The 18380-nt window shown below is 37.3% G+C and overlaps 1 annotated feature.

Moving 5' to 3' along the window:
- Positions 871 to 1495: an enhancer, noted in NCBI's record as "H3K27ac-H3K4me1 hESC enhancer chr12:73683159-73683783 (GRCh37/hg19 assembly coordinates)". NCBI's record gives its function as "activates a minimal SCP1, AML or CMV promoter by ChIP-STARR-seq in naive H9 embryonic stem cells {active_cell/tissue: H9 hESC(naive)}" and the evidence as "EXISTENCE:reporter gene assay evidence [ECO:0000049][PMID:30033119]".

Genomic DNA, 18380 nt, shown 5'->3' on the forward strand with positions numbered 1-18380 from the left:
AGCTCCTTTAAGCACTTCTCTGTATTGGTTATTCTAGTTATACATTCTTCTAAATTTTTTTCAAAGTTTTCAACTTCTTTGCCTTTGGTTTGAATGTCCTCCCGTAGCTCAGAGTAATTTGATCGTCTGAAGCCTTCTTCTCTCAGCTCGTCAAAATCATTCTCCATCCAGCTTTGTTCTGTTGCTGGTGAGGAACTGCGTTCCTTTGGAGGAGGAGCGGCGCTCTGCGTTTTAGAGTTTCCAGTTTTTCTGTTCTGTTTTTTCCCCATCTTTGTGGTTTTATCTACTTTTGGTCTTTGATGGTGGTGATGTACAGATGGGTTTTCGGTGTAGATGTCCTTTCTGGTTGTTAGTTTTCCTTCTAACAGACAGGACCCTCAGCTGCAGGTCTGTTGGAATACCCTGCCGTGTGAGGTGTCAGTGTGCCCGTGCTTGGGGGTGCCTCCCAGTTAGGCTGCTTGGGGGTCAGGGGTCAGGGACCCACTTGAGGAGGCAGTCTGCCCGTTCTCAGATCTCCAGCTGCGTGCTGGGAGAACCACTGCTCTCTTCAAAGCTGTCAGACAGGGACACTTAAGTCTGCAGAGGTTACTGCTGTCTTTTTGTTTGTCTGTGCCCTGCCCCCAGAGGCAGGCAGGCCTCCTTGAGCTGTGGTGGGCTCCACCCAGTTCGAGCTTCCTGGCTGCTTTGTTTACCTAAGCAAGCCTGGGCAATGGCGGGCGCCCCTCCCCCAGCCTCGTTGCCGCCTTGCAGTTTGATCTCAGACTGCTGTGCTAGCAATCAGCGAGATTCCGTGGGCGTACGACCCTCTGAGCCAGGTGTGGGATATAGTCTCGTGGTGCGCCGTTTCTTAAGCCGGTCTGAAAAGCGCAATATTCGGGTGGGAGTGACCCGATTTTCCAGGTGCGTCCGTCACCCCTTTCTTTGACTCGGAAAGGGAACTCCCTGACCCCTTGTGCTTCCCAGGTGAGGCAATGCCTCGCCCTGCTTCGGCTCGCGCATGGTGCGCACACACACTGGCCTGCGCCCACTGTCTGGCACTCCCAAGTGAGATGAACCCGGTACCTCAGATGGAAATGCAGAAATCACCCGTCTTCTGCGTCGCTCAGGCTGGGAGCTGTAGACCGGAGCTGTTCCTATTCGGCCATCTTGGCTCCTCCCCCCTGTTTTATAGTTTTCAACTATACAATCTTTCACCTCCTTGATTAAATTTATTTCTAGGTATAATTTTTTGATGATATTATAAATGAGATTATTTTCTTAATTTCTTTTTCTGCTAAGTTGCTATCCTTGTATTAAAAATGCTACTGATTTTCATATGTTGATTTTTGTATCATGCAATTTTACTGAATTCATTATGATCTCCAAAATTCTTCAAACTTTAGCTAAACGTTCAGTTGTGTATCTGTATCTTTGGCATGCTTATAACTTTTTTTTTTTTTTTTTTTTGAGATGGATTCTCACTCTGTCACCCAGGCTGGAGTGCAGTGTCGTGATCTCGGCTCACTGCAACCTCCTCCTCCCGGGTTCAAACAATTCTCCAGCCTCAGCCTCCCAAGTAGCTGGGACTACAGGCACACGCCACTATGCTGCTATTTTTTTTTTTTATTTTTAGAAGAGACAGGGTTTCACCATGTTGGCCAGGATGGTCTCGATCTCCTGACCACCTGATCCATTCACCTCGGCCTCCCAAAGTACTGGGATTATAGGCATGAGCCAACGTGCCTGGCCGGCATGCTTATAACTTTTAACATTTCAGTTTTTGTTACATGGATTTCCCTTCATATTATTACTCCCAGCCCCACAAATTTTGAGGCTGGCCTGATTGAGAACAGAGAACCTGTCTAATCCTGGACTTTAGGGAAGTCTACTTGATGGTGTGACATTTAACTAAAAACTAAAAGGTGGGATGATATAAATTAGTAGAGAAAGAAAGAGTTAGATGTTGTAGGTAGAGGAAACAGCATATGAGAAGCTTTTATGTAAGAAGTGCAGCACATTGTACAGGACAGAAATTAAGTATATAGTTAGATTTCATAGGAACTTGTGGGTCATATTAAGGATTTTTATTAATTGAGAGGAGCAATGAGAAATCTTTGAAGAATACTAAGGAAGAAAGCAGTATATTTAAACATGTGTTTTAAGAAGATGTTTAAAAAAAGAGTGAGGAAAAACTTAGGAGAAGGCATGCTAGACATATAGGAAAAAGATAACTTAAACACAGGTGTGGAGATGTTAAAGATACTTTCCTGTCAGTTTCAGCCCTTTTTGGGTCTCTCACGTTTCTAGAGGAGTGGCCAAGACTTCTGTAAAGTTTCTTTTCCATTAACTGTTTAAGGTTTGTTATGATTCTCAAACAGCTGTATGGATGGAAGAAAATTTCAAAGTCACAAATTAGTGCCAACTGATTGAGGTGATTGAATTTCTTCTTAGTTCTCCTGATAGTTATAAAAATTTGGGACTATACAAATGTGTGTTTTACTCAATGATGGCTTGAGGTATGTTGATGTGAGAAATTTCTAACATTTTTTCAGTAGTATTACTGCTTTTGTAATACATGCTACTAATATGACTAGCAATACTAGAAGAGTGCTTTTCAAGTTTTGCAGCTGTGAAGAGAGAAATTTATATTCTAGTTAAACTAAAATAGTTTAGCTGTCTAGCTGATGGATGATGGCCAAAAAAATATATGTGTACCAGTCTATGGGTAATAACAAAATATATTCAACAGAATTTGATTACAGTGAAAGTATTTATCAATTGATCAACTTGTGGTTTGTAATGTTCCCTAATTCTAAGCCATGCAACCGTACATTCACACTTCTCAGGTACAGCTACCAACTGTCCTTTGATATCCAAGATATCTGCTAGGATGGTGCCACTCCTTGTTATTGAAATTTAAGGTCAGGTTTGAAGATTTGATGTATTTTGAATTTATATTGATGTAATGCAAAGTTAGGAATAATGATTTATAATTTGCCCCATGATCAGCAAGTTCTCCCATGTCATTTGTTACCTCTTCATCCTACATTGAAATTAACCCCATCATAAATTAAAATCACACTTTTTAGTTTATATCTGGAACCTATTCTGCTTGATGGATTTATTATCTTTCTAATTATTTCTAGACCAAAAGATTTTGATTAACATAGATTCAAAATATGAGTAAATTATCTGGTAAGATTTATCTCCCTGGTTCTGTACACTTCTCATTTTATGATGTTCCTACTGATTTCATATGTTTAATGTTCAAATATAACCTAATATATTTTTGTCAAATTAAAAATCCTTTTAGTAACTGGGATGAAATTCTATTCAATTTATAGATAAATTCAAGTAGAACTGACCTTTTTTAATATTCAATTATCTTTTTCAAAAATGTAGTACCTGAATTTTCTTGTATTGTTCCCATTTGCTAGCATTGTTTTATTAAGGGATTTTCTTTCTATAACGGTTTTACCAGGGTTAGATCCAAACTTGGAAATATATAATTAGGTATGAAAGTGGATATACAATTAGAGTCAACAAAATAAATCAGAACAAATCTCATGCTCCAAAGGCAGAAAAACATCATATGCATCACAAAATTCAGAAATATAATGTAACATTCTTTAAATTAACTAATTAAAAAAATTAATTAACATATTTAGATAATAAGCTTATCCTAAAATTTTGGCTAAATATCATTTGATTACTTATTTGTATGATGACAATTTTGTAATATTTTCTTTAGAGTGAAGAATATATTAATCCATCTTTCCTAGCATAGTTAATCTAAAGTAGTCTTTTTTTAATGGTTGATAGTTTCAGCCAGAAATACATATGGACCAATTGCTTTTCTTACAATTTTACAAGTTTAATGATTGGGAGAAATTTCCATAGACTAGCTATTGGCCCCACACATGTCAAATCTTGTTTCTCCTCAACTAAACCACACTTCCAGGACTAAGTGCCATAAGTAACATTTATATTATGATACAACATCACATCTGTACCTTTATGTCTTAACAATAGATGAAATACCACATTAGTGTAGGGATTTTTCTGGAAGCCATTCTTACACCAGAATGACTAGCAATAACTTAACTACACAGGAAAATAGCTGCAGTTCATGTAAGTAGATACAATAAATCCAAACATTATGTGCCTCCAAGTTTATTCTCCAGATTCTAAAATGCTCATGCCCATTCTAATGTATCAGAAGAGACAGAGTGGTGAAAACCAAGTACAATTTACCATTGAGATACTGTACACAACCAATTGAGTTAAAATCTTATTTTTAAAAATTTTTACAAAAGTAAATATCCATGTGAATATACTACTGAAGTCTTTCCTAAAACTCTGAAGTGAACTCATACAAGTGAGGACACTGAAGTTTAAGTTCCATTACCTTCACAGTAAACTTGCCTCTAGGTATTATGTTTTGGACTGAATGTTTGTGTCTTCCTAAGATTCACATGTTGAAATACTAACCCCTAATTTTATGGTATTTGGAGGTGGGAACTTTGAGAGGTAATTAGGTTTAGATGAGGTCACAAGGAGGGGACCCTCATGATGGGATTCATAGTCTTATAAAAAGAGGAGGGAACATGGGCAACTCTCTCTTGCTCTCCCTTTCTCTCTCTTTGCATGTATGCATCAAAGAAAGTCATGTGAGGACATAACCAGAGAGAGGGCCCTCACCAAGAACATAACTGATGTGGTTTGGCTATGTCCCTACCCAAATCTCATCTTGAATTGTAACTCCCACAATTCCTATGTGTTGTGGAAGGAATGTGGTGGGAGGTGATTGAATTGTGGGGGTGGGTCTTGTGATAGTGAATGAGTTTCATGAGATCTGATCATTTTAAAAATGGGAGTTTCCCTGCACAACCTCTCTTTGCCTGTTGCCATCCATGTAAGATGTGACTTGCCCCTCTGCGCCTTCCACCATGATTGTGAGGCTTCCCCAGCCACATGGCACTGTAAGTCCATGAAACCTCTTTCTTTTGCAAATTGCCCAGTCTCAGGTATGTCTTTATCAGCAGTATGAAAAATGGATTAATACAGTAAATTGGTACCAGTAGAGTGGGGTGCTGCTGTAGATACCTGAAAATGTGGAAACAACTTTGGAACTGGGTAACAGGAAAGGGTTTGAACAGTTTGGAAGGCTCAGAAGAAGACAGGAAAATGTGGGAAAGTTTGAAACTTCCTAGAGACTTGTTGAATGGCTTTGCTCAAAATGCTGATAGTGATATGGACAATAACTTCCAGGCTGTGGTGGTATCAGATGGAGATGAGGAACTTGTTGGGAACTGGAGCAAAGGTGACTCTTGTTATGTTTCAGTAAAGAGATTGGTGGCATTTTGTCCCTGCTCTAGAGATTTGTGGAACTTTGAACTTGAGAAAGATGATTTAGGGTATGTGGTAGAATAAATTTCTAAGCAGCAAAGCATTCAAGAGGTGACTTGGGTGCTGTTAAAGGAATTCAGCTTTAAAAGGGAAGCAGAGCATTAAAATCTCAGAAAATTTGCAGCCTGACAATGCAATAATAAAGAAAATTCCATTTTCTGAGAAAAATTCAAGCTGGCTCCAGAAATTTGCATAAGTAATGAGGAGACAAATGTTAATGCCCAAGACTATAGAGAAAATGTCTCCAGGGCACGTCAGAGACCTTACTGGTAGCCCTTCTCATTACATGTCTAGAGCCTTAGGAGGAAAAAGTGGTTTCATGAGCCAGGCCCAGGGTCCTAGCACTGTGTGCAGCCTAGGGACTTGGTGCCCTGCATCCCAGCCACTCTAGCCATAGCTGAAAGGCACCAATGTAGAGCTCAGGCCATGGCTTCAAAGGGTGCAAGCCCCAAGCCTTGGAAGATTTCACTTGGTGTTGAGCCTGTGAGTGCACAGAAGTGAAGAATTCGGGTTTGGGAACCTCTGCCTGGATTTCAGAGGATATACAGAAATGCCTGGATGTCTAGGAATAAGTTTGCTGCCGGGGCTGGCCCCTCATGGAGAACATCTGCTAGGGCGTGCAGAAGGGAAATGTGGGGTTGGAGCCTCCACACACAGTCCCTACTGAGGCACTGCCTAGTGGAGCTATGAGAAGAGGATCATCGTCCTCCAGACCCAAGAATGGTAGATCTACTGACAGCTTGCACTGTGCACCTGGAGAAGCCCAGACACTCAACGCCAGCCTGTGACAGCAGCCAGGAGAAAGGCTGTACCCTGCAAAGCCATAGGGGCGGATGTACCTCAGATCATGGGCACTCATCTCTTGCATCAGTGTGACCCTGATGTAAGACTTGGAGTGAAAGGAGATCATTTTGGAGCTTCAAGATTTGACTGCCCTGCTGGACTTCAGACTTGCATGGGGCCTGTAGCCCCTTTGTTTTGGCCAATTTCCCCTATTTGGAACAGCTGTATTTACTCAATGCCTGCACCACCATTGTATCTAGGAAGTAGCTAACTTGCTTTTGATTTTACAGGCTCACAGGTAGAATTGACTTGCTGGGTCTCAGATGAGATATTGGACTGTGGATTTTTGAGTTAATGTTAAAATGAGTTAAGACTTTGGGGGGCGGTTGGGAAGGCGTGATTTGTTTTGAAATGTGAGGATATGAGATTTGGGAGGGGCCGGGGCAGAATGATATGGTTTGGCTGTGTCCCCACGCAAATCTCATCTTGAATTGTAACTCCCACAGTTCTCATGTATCGTGGGAGGAACCTGGTGGGAGGTGATTGAATCATGGGGTGGGTCTTCCTGCACTGTTCTCATGATAGTGAATGAGTCTCACAAGATGTTCCATAATTTTAAAAATGGGAGTTTCCCTGCACAAGCTCTTTTGCCTGCTGCCATCCATATAAGATATGACTTGCCCTTCCTTGCCTTTCACCATGATTGTGAGGCTTCCCCAGCCACGTGGAACTGTAAGTCCATTAAACCTTTCTTTTGTAAATTGCCCCATCTTGGGTATGTCTTGATCAGCAGCATGAAAGCAGACTAATACAATAACCATGTTGGAATCTTGATCTCAGATTGTCAGCCTCCAGAGCTGTGAGAAATAAATTGTTTAAGCCACCCTCTCTGTGATATTCTGTTATAGCAGCCTAAACTGTTAGAGACATCTTGCATAATTATTTTAAGCATCTTATCTTTTAGTTTAAATCCTGTATATGAATGTACATATAGCCATTTAAATTAATATTGTAAGACACCATCCTACTCCTATATTGTCTATAATAATAAAAGATATGATAAAATCCCATTCTTTGGATAGTTCTCACTTGGTAGTGGTATGTCTATTACTATTATAGACAATACAGGAGTGGTATGTTCAGTGGTATGTTCTATCCCTTCATAGTAGTTGTTTCTACCCTTCTTCGCTTCTATGTAGCCATTAAGTTTTCACCAGATATTTCATAGTACGCTGGTTGGAAGGGAAGGGCAGTTTCACCTGAACTTTTGTGGTCTCTTCATTTTAGCATTTCTCTTATGTTCCACAAAGTCTCTATTACTGGGGTAATTAGCACTGTATAATTATGATTATTCTGCTTTTTCTTTCTGTTTTTCTCCCAATATGCACAGAGATAAATGGTAAAAAAACTAAAGTTATCTCTCCCTTCTCTGACAAGTTTGGTAGAATAGGGAAGTTTCACTTTAGTAAATTTTCCCAGTACTCCCCCAACACTCCAGGATGCCTCTAAAACTGCTAAGTCTGCTTCTTTCCAAATTGAGAGTTATACTGAGAACTGTTAGTGCCCTGCCTGGACCTCTTTGGATTATTTTTGTAGTTCTCTGAATCTACCCTCAGCTTTTTTGTGCTTTGCTTCTAATGGCTTTGTAAAGAGTATGTTTGTTTGTTTTTCCGCAAAACTCACAGAATCATTAGTTATCTTTTGGGAAAGACCAAAAGCTTCAAACCTAGAATAAAGTAACCCCTCCTTTTTTATTGCTAAACACAAAACCAGGGAATGTATTTTCAGACTTGCTTAGTTTTAGGCTTTTTGAAAATTGATAGTGAAATATTTGCCTTGTCCCACATATTGTTGTTTTTATGTTTTTCTATGTCTGTGACCAACATAAATGTCAGAAATATATAAAATGTATGTAATGGCCAGGGGCAGAAACAGTTTTGCAGACTTAATTTTATTCTATTATAGTCTGGAAAGTTTTTCGCTTTTCTGTTTTCTGGTGTCCTTACTTAGGGAATATTAATAGATTAGAAGAGTAACTTTGTGGATTCCAGAGGATGGAAGTAGTAAAATGTTTATTTCCTTGAGGCAGCTTCATAGCCAGTGACTGACCTATACAGGAGTATGAATGACCAACTTTATTGACTCACAGGTGGCAAACTAAGGTGTAATTTCCTCAAATTAATTCCTCAAACTGAGGTATAAACTCCAGGATTCCCCTTGTAGGTTAGCCTGGTAATTGAAAGTGGAATAATCTACAATCACACCCTTGCTTGGTTTTTCCTTCACTGTCCTCCTCCACTCTCTTACTGGCTTATCCTGAGAGCACCTTTTTAATAAAACACTTGTACATCAATCCCCACCTCATAGTTTGCTTTGAGATAACTTAAACTAAGATAGTGTATTATTGAAAACTTTACCAGCATTCTAACCTTGATCAACCACAAAATTTACTCTTGTTTTCCACGGCTGCTGTTTTCCAAAGGTTTTGTCCTGGGGTTGTATCTGTTTCCTAGTCTGTTGTAATGGGCAACACACACACACACACACACACTCTCACACTCATATGCACCCAAAACAACTACTCTGAAATCAGGATGAAAAAGCTGGATATTCAGGCATAGATTATCTCTGATTAGTCCTATTCTCAACTTAATTTTGAGTTCAGTGTCTGGAATATTTTGAAGGTTTGGAAATTTTAGATAATCAATTAATATAATATTTTTATATTATTAATTATGAGAATCCAAATATAGTTACTAAGGGAGAACAGTCTCTATTTATTTTTTTATTATATCTATGTATCTGTATCTATCTATCTAGCTAGCTAGCTGTCTATCTTTCTTTCTATCTACTTGTCATCTATCTATTGCAGAAAGGCAGATAGCTTATATAATGTAGCCATCTCAAGTCATAGAATCAAAGGACTAATTGGCCTATGGACATTTTATTTTTCTCATTCTTTAAAGCTACTAATTGAGAAGTCAATAATATCACCAACAGCGGCCTTGGTTCAGTAGTTTATGTAGCTGAGATTGATAGCACGGTCAACTATGCTGTTATCAGCCTGAAAAGCCCAAAAGCAATCAGCTATATACCATGTGCAGAAATTTACTCTGTGACATATATACTTTTAACCTTTTTTAAAAAACAACTCTCATATTTCAGTATTTTCTAAAGTGAGTGATAAATGACAAGTGGAAAAAGAAGTTCAAAGAAAGTGTGTTTAAGAAAAACATTTGAAGTGCACTTTAGTAGTCACAACTAGAAAAACCATAGTTTTTTATCTACTATTCACATAAAAAATATGCTAGGTGATGCAAAGTCGGAGAAGGTATAATACAAATGCTGATCATTTATTCTCAGGAGGAACTTGAACTCTAGTTGAGTGGTTCCTGATCTTTTTTCCCCTCCTCTCTGATACCTATCTTCAGATGAGTCACATTTAATAAGCAGACTTACAGTTTGATTCTCTAAGTCATTTTTCCTCAAATTACTTAATCCATATAGTTTTAATAAACATGAAAATATTGCTTCCAAATTGTTGATATGCTTTGCCTTTCAATCTGCTCTATAATGTTATAGAAAATAACTGCTCCATTATAGTTTTTCCAGACTTATTTGTCATTTTCACCAAAATCTTTCCATCAAACTAAAAAATGTAAATATTGTTCTATCTGCAGAAAAAAATCCAATGCTTGTTTTATCATAAAGAGGACAATTGATAATTCTTGCCAATTTTATATTGAACATATTAAGAATTAATATAGTAGAGTTGACTATATATTTTCTTGCTTTTGACAGAACACTTTTTATTGTAAGAAATTGTGTAAAGTTAATATTATAAAACTAAATTTAAAATTCTAAATGTGAAGAAAAATCTACTGAGGAATAATAGCATTGCTAACACATTAACTGTAGCATTCTAGAAAAAATAATTGGGCCAATTGTTCAACATCATTAATCATTAGAGAAATACAAAAAAAATCCATAATTAAATACTACTATACACCTAATAAAATACCTAAAATTTAAAATACTAGTATTACCAAATATTGGCAAGAATATGGACAACAGGAACTTCGTACATTTCTTAGCCCACTGTAAAATGGTAAAACCGCTATGTAAAACTGACTGGCAGTATCATACAGTGTCAAACATTACCTATTTTTATGACTTAGCAATTCCATTCCTAAGTATTTTCACAAGACAGATAAAATATTTGTTCATAAAAAGTTTTTTCCAATAATGTACTTAGAAGCCTTACTCAAAACAGCTCCAAATTGAAAACAACTTAAATCAACAGGAAAATTAGAAACATTGGTAAATAGACAAAACTACTAATATTAACACAATATACAACAATAAACATGAGAGAAAGAAGACAGATAAAAAGCATACACTCTGGATGATTCTATTTGTATGAAATTCTAGAATAACCACAATAATCAGAAAAATGTTGCCTCAAGGATGGTATTGACTTGAAGCAGTCATTGAAAAACCTTCAGGGAGGATGGAAATATCTTGAGCCATATAGTTTACATCTGTCAAAACTTATAAAACTGTACACTTAAAATCTTAGCTTTTAAATGTATGCAAAATACACCTGAATTTAGAAAAACAATGGAGATTTTTAAAAAGAAGACAGAAAACTGAAAGAACTATGTCCAGAAGCTATGCTAGGTACTTTACTTGTGTTATCTATTTCATCTTTACAGCAGTGCAGTGAAATATATTTCTCCTTTCCCTTCCCTTTCCTTCCCTTCTCTCCCTTCACCCCCCTCCCCTCCCCTCCCTTCTCCTCCCTTCCCCTCCCTTCCTTCCCCTCCCCTCCCCTTCCTTTCATTTTCTTCTTTTTATTTTTTATTTTTATTTTTTGAGATGGAGTCTTGCTCTGTCACCCAGGCTGGAGTGCAGTGGCGTGATCTCGGCTCACTGCAATCTCCAACTCCTGGGTTCAAGCGATTCTCCTGCCGCAGCCTTCTTCTGAGTAGCTGGGACTACAGGCGGGAGCCACCATGCCCAGCTAATTTTTTTGTATTTGTAGTAGAGACAGGCTGTCACCATGTTAGCCAGGATGGTCTCAATCTCCTGACCTTGTGATCCGCCCACCTTGGCCACCCAAAGTGCTGGGATTAAAGGCGTAAGCCACGCGCCCCGCCTCTATTTTTCTAATATATAAAGATATCATAAATCAGAGGCATTGATTTATTTGACCAACTTCTATAGAAAAATAATGAGAGTAATTATTCAATCTGAATTACGATTTTTAAAGCTGTTGCCTTTTCCATTTTAATAGTGGATTAGCTAATTAAGTATTGTATTAATGTAAAATTGTGAACAGATTAAAAAGAATATGGAAGACATTGTGAAAGACTTAGAAAATTCAGAATAAACACAAAAATAAGATAAGCCAAAAACTAGTACTGAAAAAATGAAAAATAATTAACAGAAAAATATTATTAAAGGAAGGAAATTTACTGTTCATTGTGAGAGATTTAAAATATAAAGAATTAAAATTTATAACATTAAATGAAACAAATTATACTAGAGAACACCAGAGAAAAGATATGAAAAGGAAAAAAAAAAAACAGAGCAACGTGATCAAATAGATTGTGCACAGCAGTCTCAGGACAAGCTGCAACTCGCTCTCACTATGATTTTTGGTAAGCTGTTTAACCTCTGCCTTATTTTTCCCACATGTAAAAAGTAGAAATTCTAATAATGACTTTCTTTACAATATTATGGGGAAGTTTAATTAGGTAATGCTCTCTAGGAGCTTTGAAGATTAACAGCCTTAAATGAGTGCTAAGTATAAAACACAAAACCAAAGAGACGCAATCAGAAGTTATACAAGTCAGAGAGATGAAAGGAGGAAGATAAAATTATAATAGAGTTGGAAAGCAGGGAAAGATATGAAGGAGCACAGGTGATGAGCTGGGAAAAAATTAACTTCAAGTACTCACATGGAACCAAATATATTTTAAAAGATGCTGACATGTATTAACTCAGTAAAAATATAAGATTCTGAAAATGTACATCAATGTTATTTGTACTGCAAAAAAAAAAAAGAAAAGTGACTATTTTCTTTGCAAGGTCACAGAATGTGTTGTATTCATCATATCTATCACTTCCAAAGTTGTCCCCTTTCATTTTTGTCAAATCTACTTTTAGGTGTCACCTGCCTATCCAGTGTGAGACCTTTGTTTCCACATTCCACTTATCCTTATCACCTACTCTAAATGTGTGAGATTCACAAAGTCAACCCAAAATAAGATGGATGGTACTCGGTGACCACAAAGGGCTTCAATGAACTGTGAAACAGAGAAACGAACCAGGCTCTAGGAAGAAAAGATTGGATGGACTAAGAAACTAAAGCCAGTCAGGGTAGTGAGCTTTACTCTATAATTTCTTCCAATCAAATGAGAATTTGAAAGAGTTAAAAAAAATAAAGACTGAATCGGAGAGATAATAGTACTTTAAAATGCTTTGTTTTAACATGAATAATTTAATTTAAATATAAGTGTGGAATATAATTAGCATATTTAACAGGAGGTACCACATGAACCACAGGTACCATGTGAGTTCTAAGAAGAAGCAGAATATTTAACAGTGGATACCACAAGGACACTGACAGGTCAGAACAGGCGATGGTACATGCCCAGGATATGTTAGAGCTGAGTAGAACCAATGGTAAGCAAAACTGTAAGGTTGCCTTAGTTTAATAATTCCCAGGATCTCCTTCCTTCCTCCACATACCTGGTCTCTGAATTACTATTCTACCATCTTCATGCTTCCCGCTGGTCTTAGATGCAATCATTTTATCATCTTCCTGACCCTAATGCAATGATCCACATTATCTTTTGGCATCTCAATGTTATCAAAATTTGAATTTCTTGTCTTAAATTACTTTTATGGAAAAACGTGATCTGATAAATTAACACACTAAGGCATCATGAAATTCAGTAACACACTGGTGAGCTACTCCTCTCATGACCTGTCACAACCCATTCAACTTGATAACTCAAATGCAGCTGAAGTACAATGAGATAAGCCAATGGAATTCTCTAAAGGAAAAATAGGAGGCTTTGTAGTCTTTTGACAGCTACTTTGGAGCAGCAGTTAGAATCCGTCAAATCCAATGATTTATTTTTCAATATGTCTATTTCTCCTTGAGATGTTCTAACTTGTAAAATAACACTTATAAATGTAAGCTTATTTGAGTCCAATGCTTAGGCACCCCCCCTTTTTTTTTTTTTTTTTTGAGACAGAGTCTCACTCTGTCCCCCAGCCTGGAGTGCAGTGGCACGATCTCGGCTCACTGCAAGCTCTGCCTCCTGGGTTCACGCCATTCTCCCTGCCTCAGCCTCCCAAGTACCTGGGACTACAGGTACCTGCCACCACGCCTGGCTAATTTTTTGTATTTTTAGTAGAGGTGGGGTTTCACCATGTTAGCCAGGATGGTCTCGATCTCCTGACCTTGTGATCCGCCCTTCTCGGCCTCCGAAAGTGCTGTGATTACAGGCGTGAGCCACCGCGCCCGGCCACTTTTGAAATTATTATTTCTGGAATCCACTACTTCTCTTGAAATTCACTCTACAGTTACAGTTACATACTTTCTTATCTTGCCTTCTGAATTATGAATGATAATATCATACCTGAGTCATCATTGTATGTCATGGTAATGAATATAGTATGGCAGGTTAGGTAATTGACCTATGTTAGAAATATGGCTGTAACCCCCTAATAATTTTTTTTTTAATGTTTGAATGATGTAATGAATGAAAGATGGTAGGTGAGGGAAATAGATTCTATTCAAGAATCTCTTGGTGTTGCCCAAAATAAGTTAGGATGTCAGTTAAATTGAACTCACTTTTTAAGACTCTGTAATGGAGTCTTTAGGCATGTTGATATGCTAAAACTCAAACTTCTCAGCTAGGAACTAAGTTTTACAGGGTCTTGGTTCAAGTATATGCTTCATCTTTAGTGGTCAGTGTGTACACTTAGGTGCCCAGGGCAGGCATGTTAGTCAAAATAGATGTTTTTTGCCATTTCTTCACTGTGCCATTACATTTCTCACACTTCACTCTGTTTTGAATGCAGTTACCACACTTCCCTCTCACATACCTGTCCAAATTTATGTTTAGTAGTGCTCCTGTGAAACATTTTTATTTCCCTATTAATGCACTTTTAACATCTATTTCATGTTATTTGTGGTTTATATCTCTTGAGGACAAGAATCATGGCATATCCATCTTTGTACACCCCACATCTTTTAGCAGAGTGTCAGTGAGTGACGTGGCCTCCCTTGAGGACATCACTGTGGGATCATCTTCAGTAATGTCAGTCATCAGACTTTGAGGAACTAAAGAAACTGAGCCAAGTCTTGCTTTGAATGAATGATTTTATATAGACTCACCGAGACCAACAGTCTCCAGAAATTACTTCAAAGGCAAGAAGTGATATAAAGCTAATAATCCTATAGTAAATTTAGACAAATATAAATTATTTGTTCATGAATGAGAAAATTCTAGGTGTTTTCAAAAGCTGACTAAAATATCTGAAAGAATTATTTAAAAGAGAATTTTTGGAACAAGGTATAATTGTGCCAAGGGGTTCTGAGTATGATTACAACAAACAGAAACAAACACTCAATTAATATATTTACCTAAGCAGCTAATTTCCTCCTAGAAGGAAAATGGCACTTAATTAATTTGGCTGAACAAGACTTCTAACTGTGAATTCTCAGCTATGCTGCTAATGGGGTCACCTAAAAGATCAGCTAGAAAAGCAGAAATTATTAAAGGGAAGAATTGGAAAAAAAAAACTTATGTATGCCAAGGATTTTCTAATTAGTAACAATTACTTGATAAAGTTATTACCCTGTTTTAAATGCATTATTAGAATTATCTACCTAGAGGAGAATTGGTAGAAAGGGAATTGGATTAAATATAAGAAGTTCATTCAGGTTCAATTGGTCTGAAAGGAACCTGCTAACTTTTGGTTGTCTCTGGTGCCATCCCACATTCCCCTGCTAGCAGGTAGAAAGTGGCTCACCCTTGAATCTTATTCTTTCTCTCTTATGTAAAACGAGGAGAGTTGGATTGATAAAATATAAAAGGAAAGAAAAACTGCTACCCATGTCCAGGAGCTATTGAAATAATTTTGCTGAATGTAACATTTTAGAAAACTTCAGAAGAATATTTTCAGCAACGATAGAAAATGCCTTGCTTTGATGTTAGTTCAGAGATATCCAACTTTACTGGTCAATGTCATAGAGTGTCTGAATCAAATTCAAAATATTAAAGTGAACAAAATACAAATGCAAGTGAATTACACTGACAATTTGGCATTGAGATCTACATTTTAAGGCTTTTCTACTACAAAAATTAGGAATTAGTCAACTATGTCTGTAAATTAAACATGTGTTTGGATAGATTTTGGAAGTATGTAAATATAGAGTGACAAGTTAACTTTTCAACACCATCAGATGTTTTTGACATTGTTTTATAGCTATGTCAGATAAACATATTTGTTAAGCAGTCTCAGGATACAAAATCAACGTACAAAAATCACAACCATTCTTATACACCAATAACACACAAACAGAGCCAAATCATGAGTGAACTCCCATTCCCAATTGCTTCAAAGAGAATAAAATACGTAGGAATCCAACTTACAAGGGAGGTGAAGGACCTCTTCAAGGAGAACTACAAACCACTGCTCAATGAAATAAAAGAGGATACAAACAAATGGAAGAACATTCCATGCTCATGGGTAGGAAGAATCAATATCATGAAAATAGCCATACTGCCCAAGGTAATTTATAGATTCAATGCCATCCCCATCAAGCTACCAATGACTTTCTTCACAGAATTGGAAAAAACTACTTTAAAGTTCATATGGAACCAAAAAAGAGCCCGCATCACCAAGTCAATCCTAAGCCAAAAGAACAAAGCCAGAGGCATCAGGCTACCTGACTTCAAACTATACTACAAGGCTACAGTAACCAAAACAGCATGGTACTGGTACCAAAACAGAGATATAGATCAATGGAACAGAACAGAGCCCTCAGAAATAACGCCACATATCTACAATTATCTGATCTTTGACAAACCTGAGAAAAACAAGCAATGGGGAAAGGATTTCCTATTTAATACATGGTGCTGGGAAAACTGGCTAGCCATATGTAGAAAGCTGAAACTGGATCCCTTCCTTAAACCTTATACAAAAATTGATTCAAGATGGATTATAGACTTAAACGTTAGACCTAAAACCATAAAAACCCTAGAAGAAAACCTAGGCATTACCATTCAGGACATGGGCATGGGCAAAGACTTCATGTCTAAAACACCAAAAGCAATGGCAACAAAAGCCAAAATTGACAAATGGGATCTAATTAAACTAAAGAGCTTCTGCACAGCAAAAGAAACTACCATCAGAGTGAACAGGCAACCTACAAAATGGGAGAAAATTTTTGCAACCTACTCATCTGACAAAGGGCTAATATCCAGAACCTACAATGAACTCAAACAAATTTACAAGAAAAAAACAACCCCATCAAAAAGTGGGCAAAGGATATGAACAGACACTTCTTAAAAGAAGACATTTATGGAGCCAAAAGACACATGAAAAAATGCTCATCACTGGCCTTCAGAGAAATGCAAATCAAAAGCACAATGAGATACCATCTCACACCAGTTAGAATGGCAATCATTAAAAAGTCAGGAAACCACAGGTGTTGGAGAGGATGTGGAGAAATAGGAACACTTTTACACTGTTGGTGGGACTGTAAACTAGTTCAACCATTGTGGAAGTCAGTGTGGTGATTCCTCAGGGATCTAGAACTAGAAATACCATTTGACCCAGCCATCCCATTACTGGGTATATACCCAAAGGACTATAAAACATGCTGCTATAAAGACACATGCACACATATGTTTATTGCGGCACTATTCACAATAACAAAGACTTGGAACCAAACCAAATGTCCAACAATGATAGACTGGATTAAGAAAATGTGGCACATATACAACATGGAATACTATGCAGCCATAAAAAATGATGAGTTCATGTCCTTTGTAGGGACATGGATGAAATTGGAAATCATCATTCTCAGTAAACTATCGCAAGGACAAAAAACAAAACACCACATGTTCTTATTCATAGATAGGAATTGAACAATGAGAACACATGGACCCAGGAAGGGGAACATCACACTCTGGGGACTGTTGTGGGGTGGGGGGACGGGGGAGGGATAGCATTAGGAGATATACCTAATGCTAAATGACGAGTTAATGGGTGCAGCACACCAGCATGGCACATGTATACATATGTAACTAACCTGCACATTGTGCACATGTACTCTAAAACTTAAAGTACAATAATATTAATAATTAAAAAAAATATTTGTTCAGCATGTAATAAGAAATTTATGGCATTTATGGAGAATCAGATGTGTGGTAGTATAAGAGTCAAAGGGCTATTTGAATAATTAAGTTTGCTTAAAGGGAAGCTCTAGGGCTATGGAAATATCCATTATCAAACAAAAAAAAAATCCGTTCCAAATTCTGCAACTCCCATTTGAGGCAATAAATAATAATTGCACTCATCTATTGTATTGCTAAGTGTTGCTGCTTTATATTCCCCTTTCACTGAGGCAACTCAAAGACTTAAGATGCTTATAGATATAACCAAGAGAAAAGAAAAGCTCCGGAGAGTATAACAAGGTTCAAAATTGAAGAAAAAACTTTGAAGAGAGATTTTTTGTTTTTTTGTTTTAGGAGAATAGAAGAGGTAAGTCACCACTTCAATTACAGTTTATTCAGTACTTGGATATTCTAACAATTTAAACAAGATGTGACATAATGCTTACCTAAGTCTATTTTCTCCCTACCATGCTTAGCTCTAAATAATCAACTTACCACAGGGAAAATCTGATCTGAATTTAGAGAGGGTTCTTATATCCCTTACACACAGTTATGATAGAGGTACGGAATAACAACCATAATTTGGCAAGTACCTGTATTTGCTATGAGCAGCTACGGTGCAATTCTTGAAATCATCTATAACCCACATAATCATGGGGTCCAACTGACTATAAAAATAGATACACTTTGTGAAATATTATTCATGAGCTATTAACCACAAATGCACATATGTTGTAATTAATATTTATCAGCTATGGAAAAATCAGTAGGCAGTATTTTGGT

Source organism: Homo sapiens, chromosome 12 (assembly GCF_000001405.40).
Source record: "Homo sapiens chromosome 12, GRCh38.p14 Primary Assembly".
NCBI lineage: Eukaryota > Metazoa > Chordata > Mammalia > Primates > Hominidae > Homo > Homo sapiens.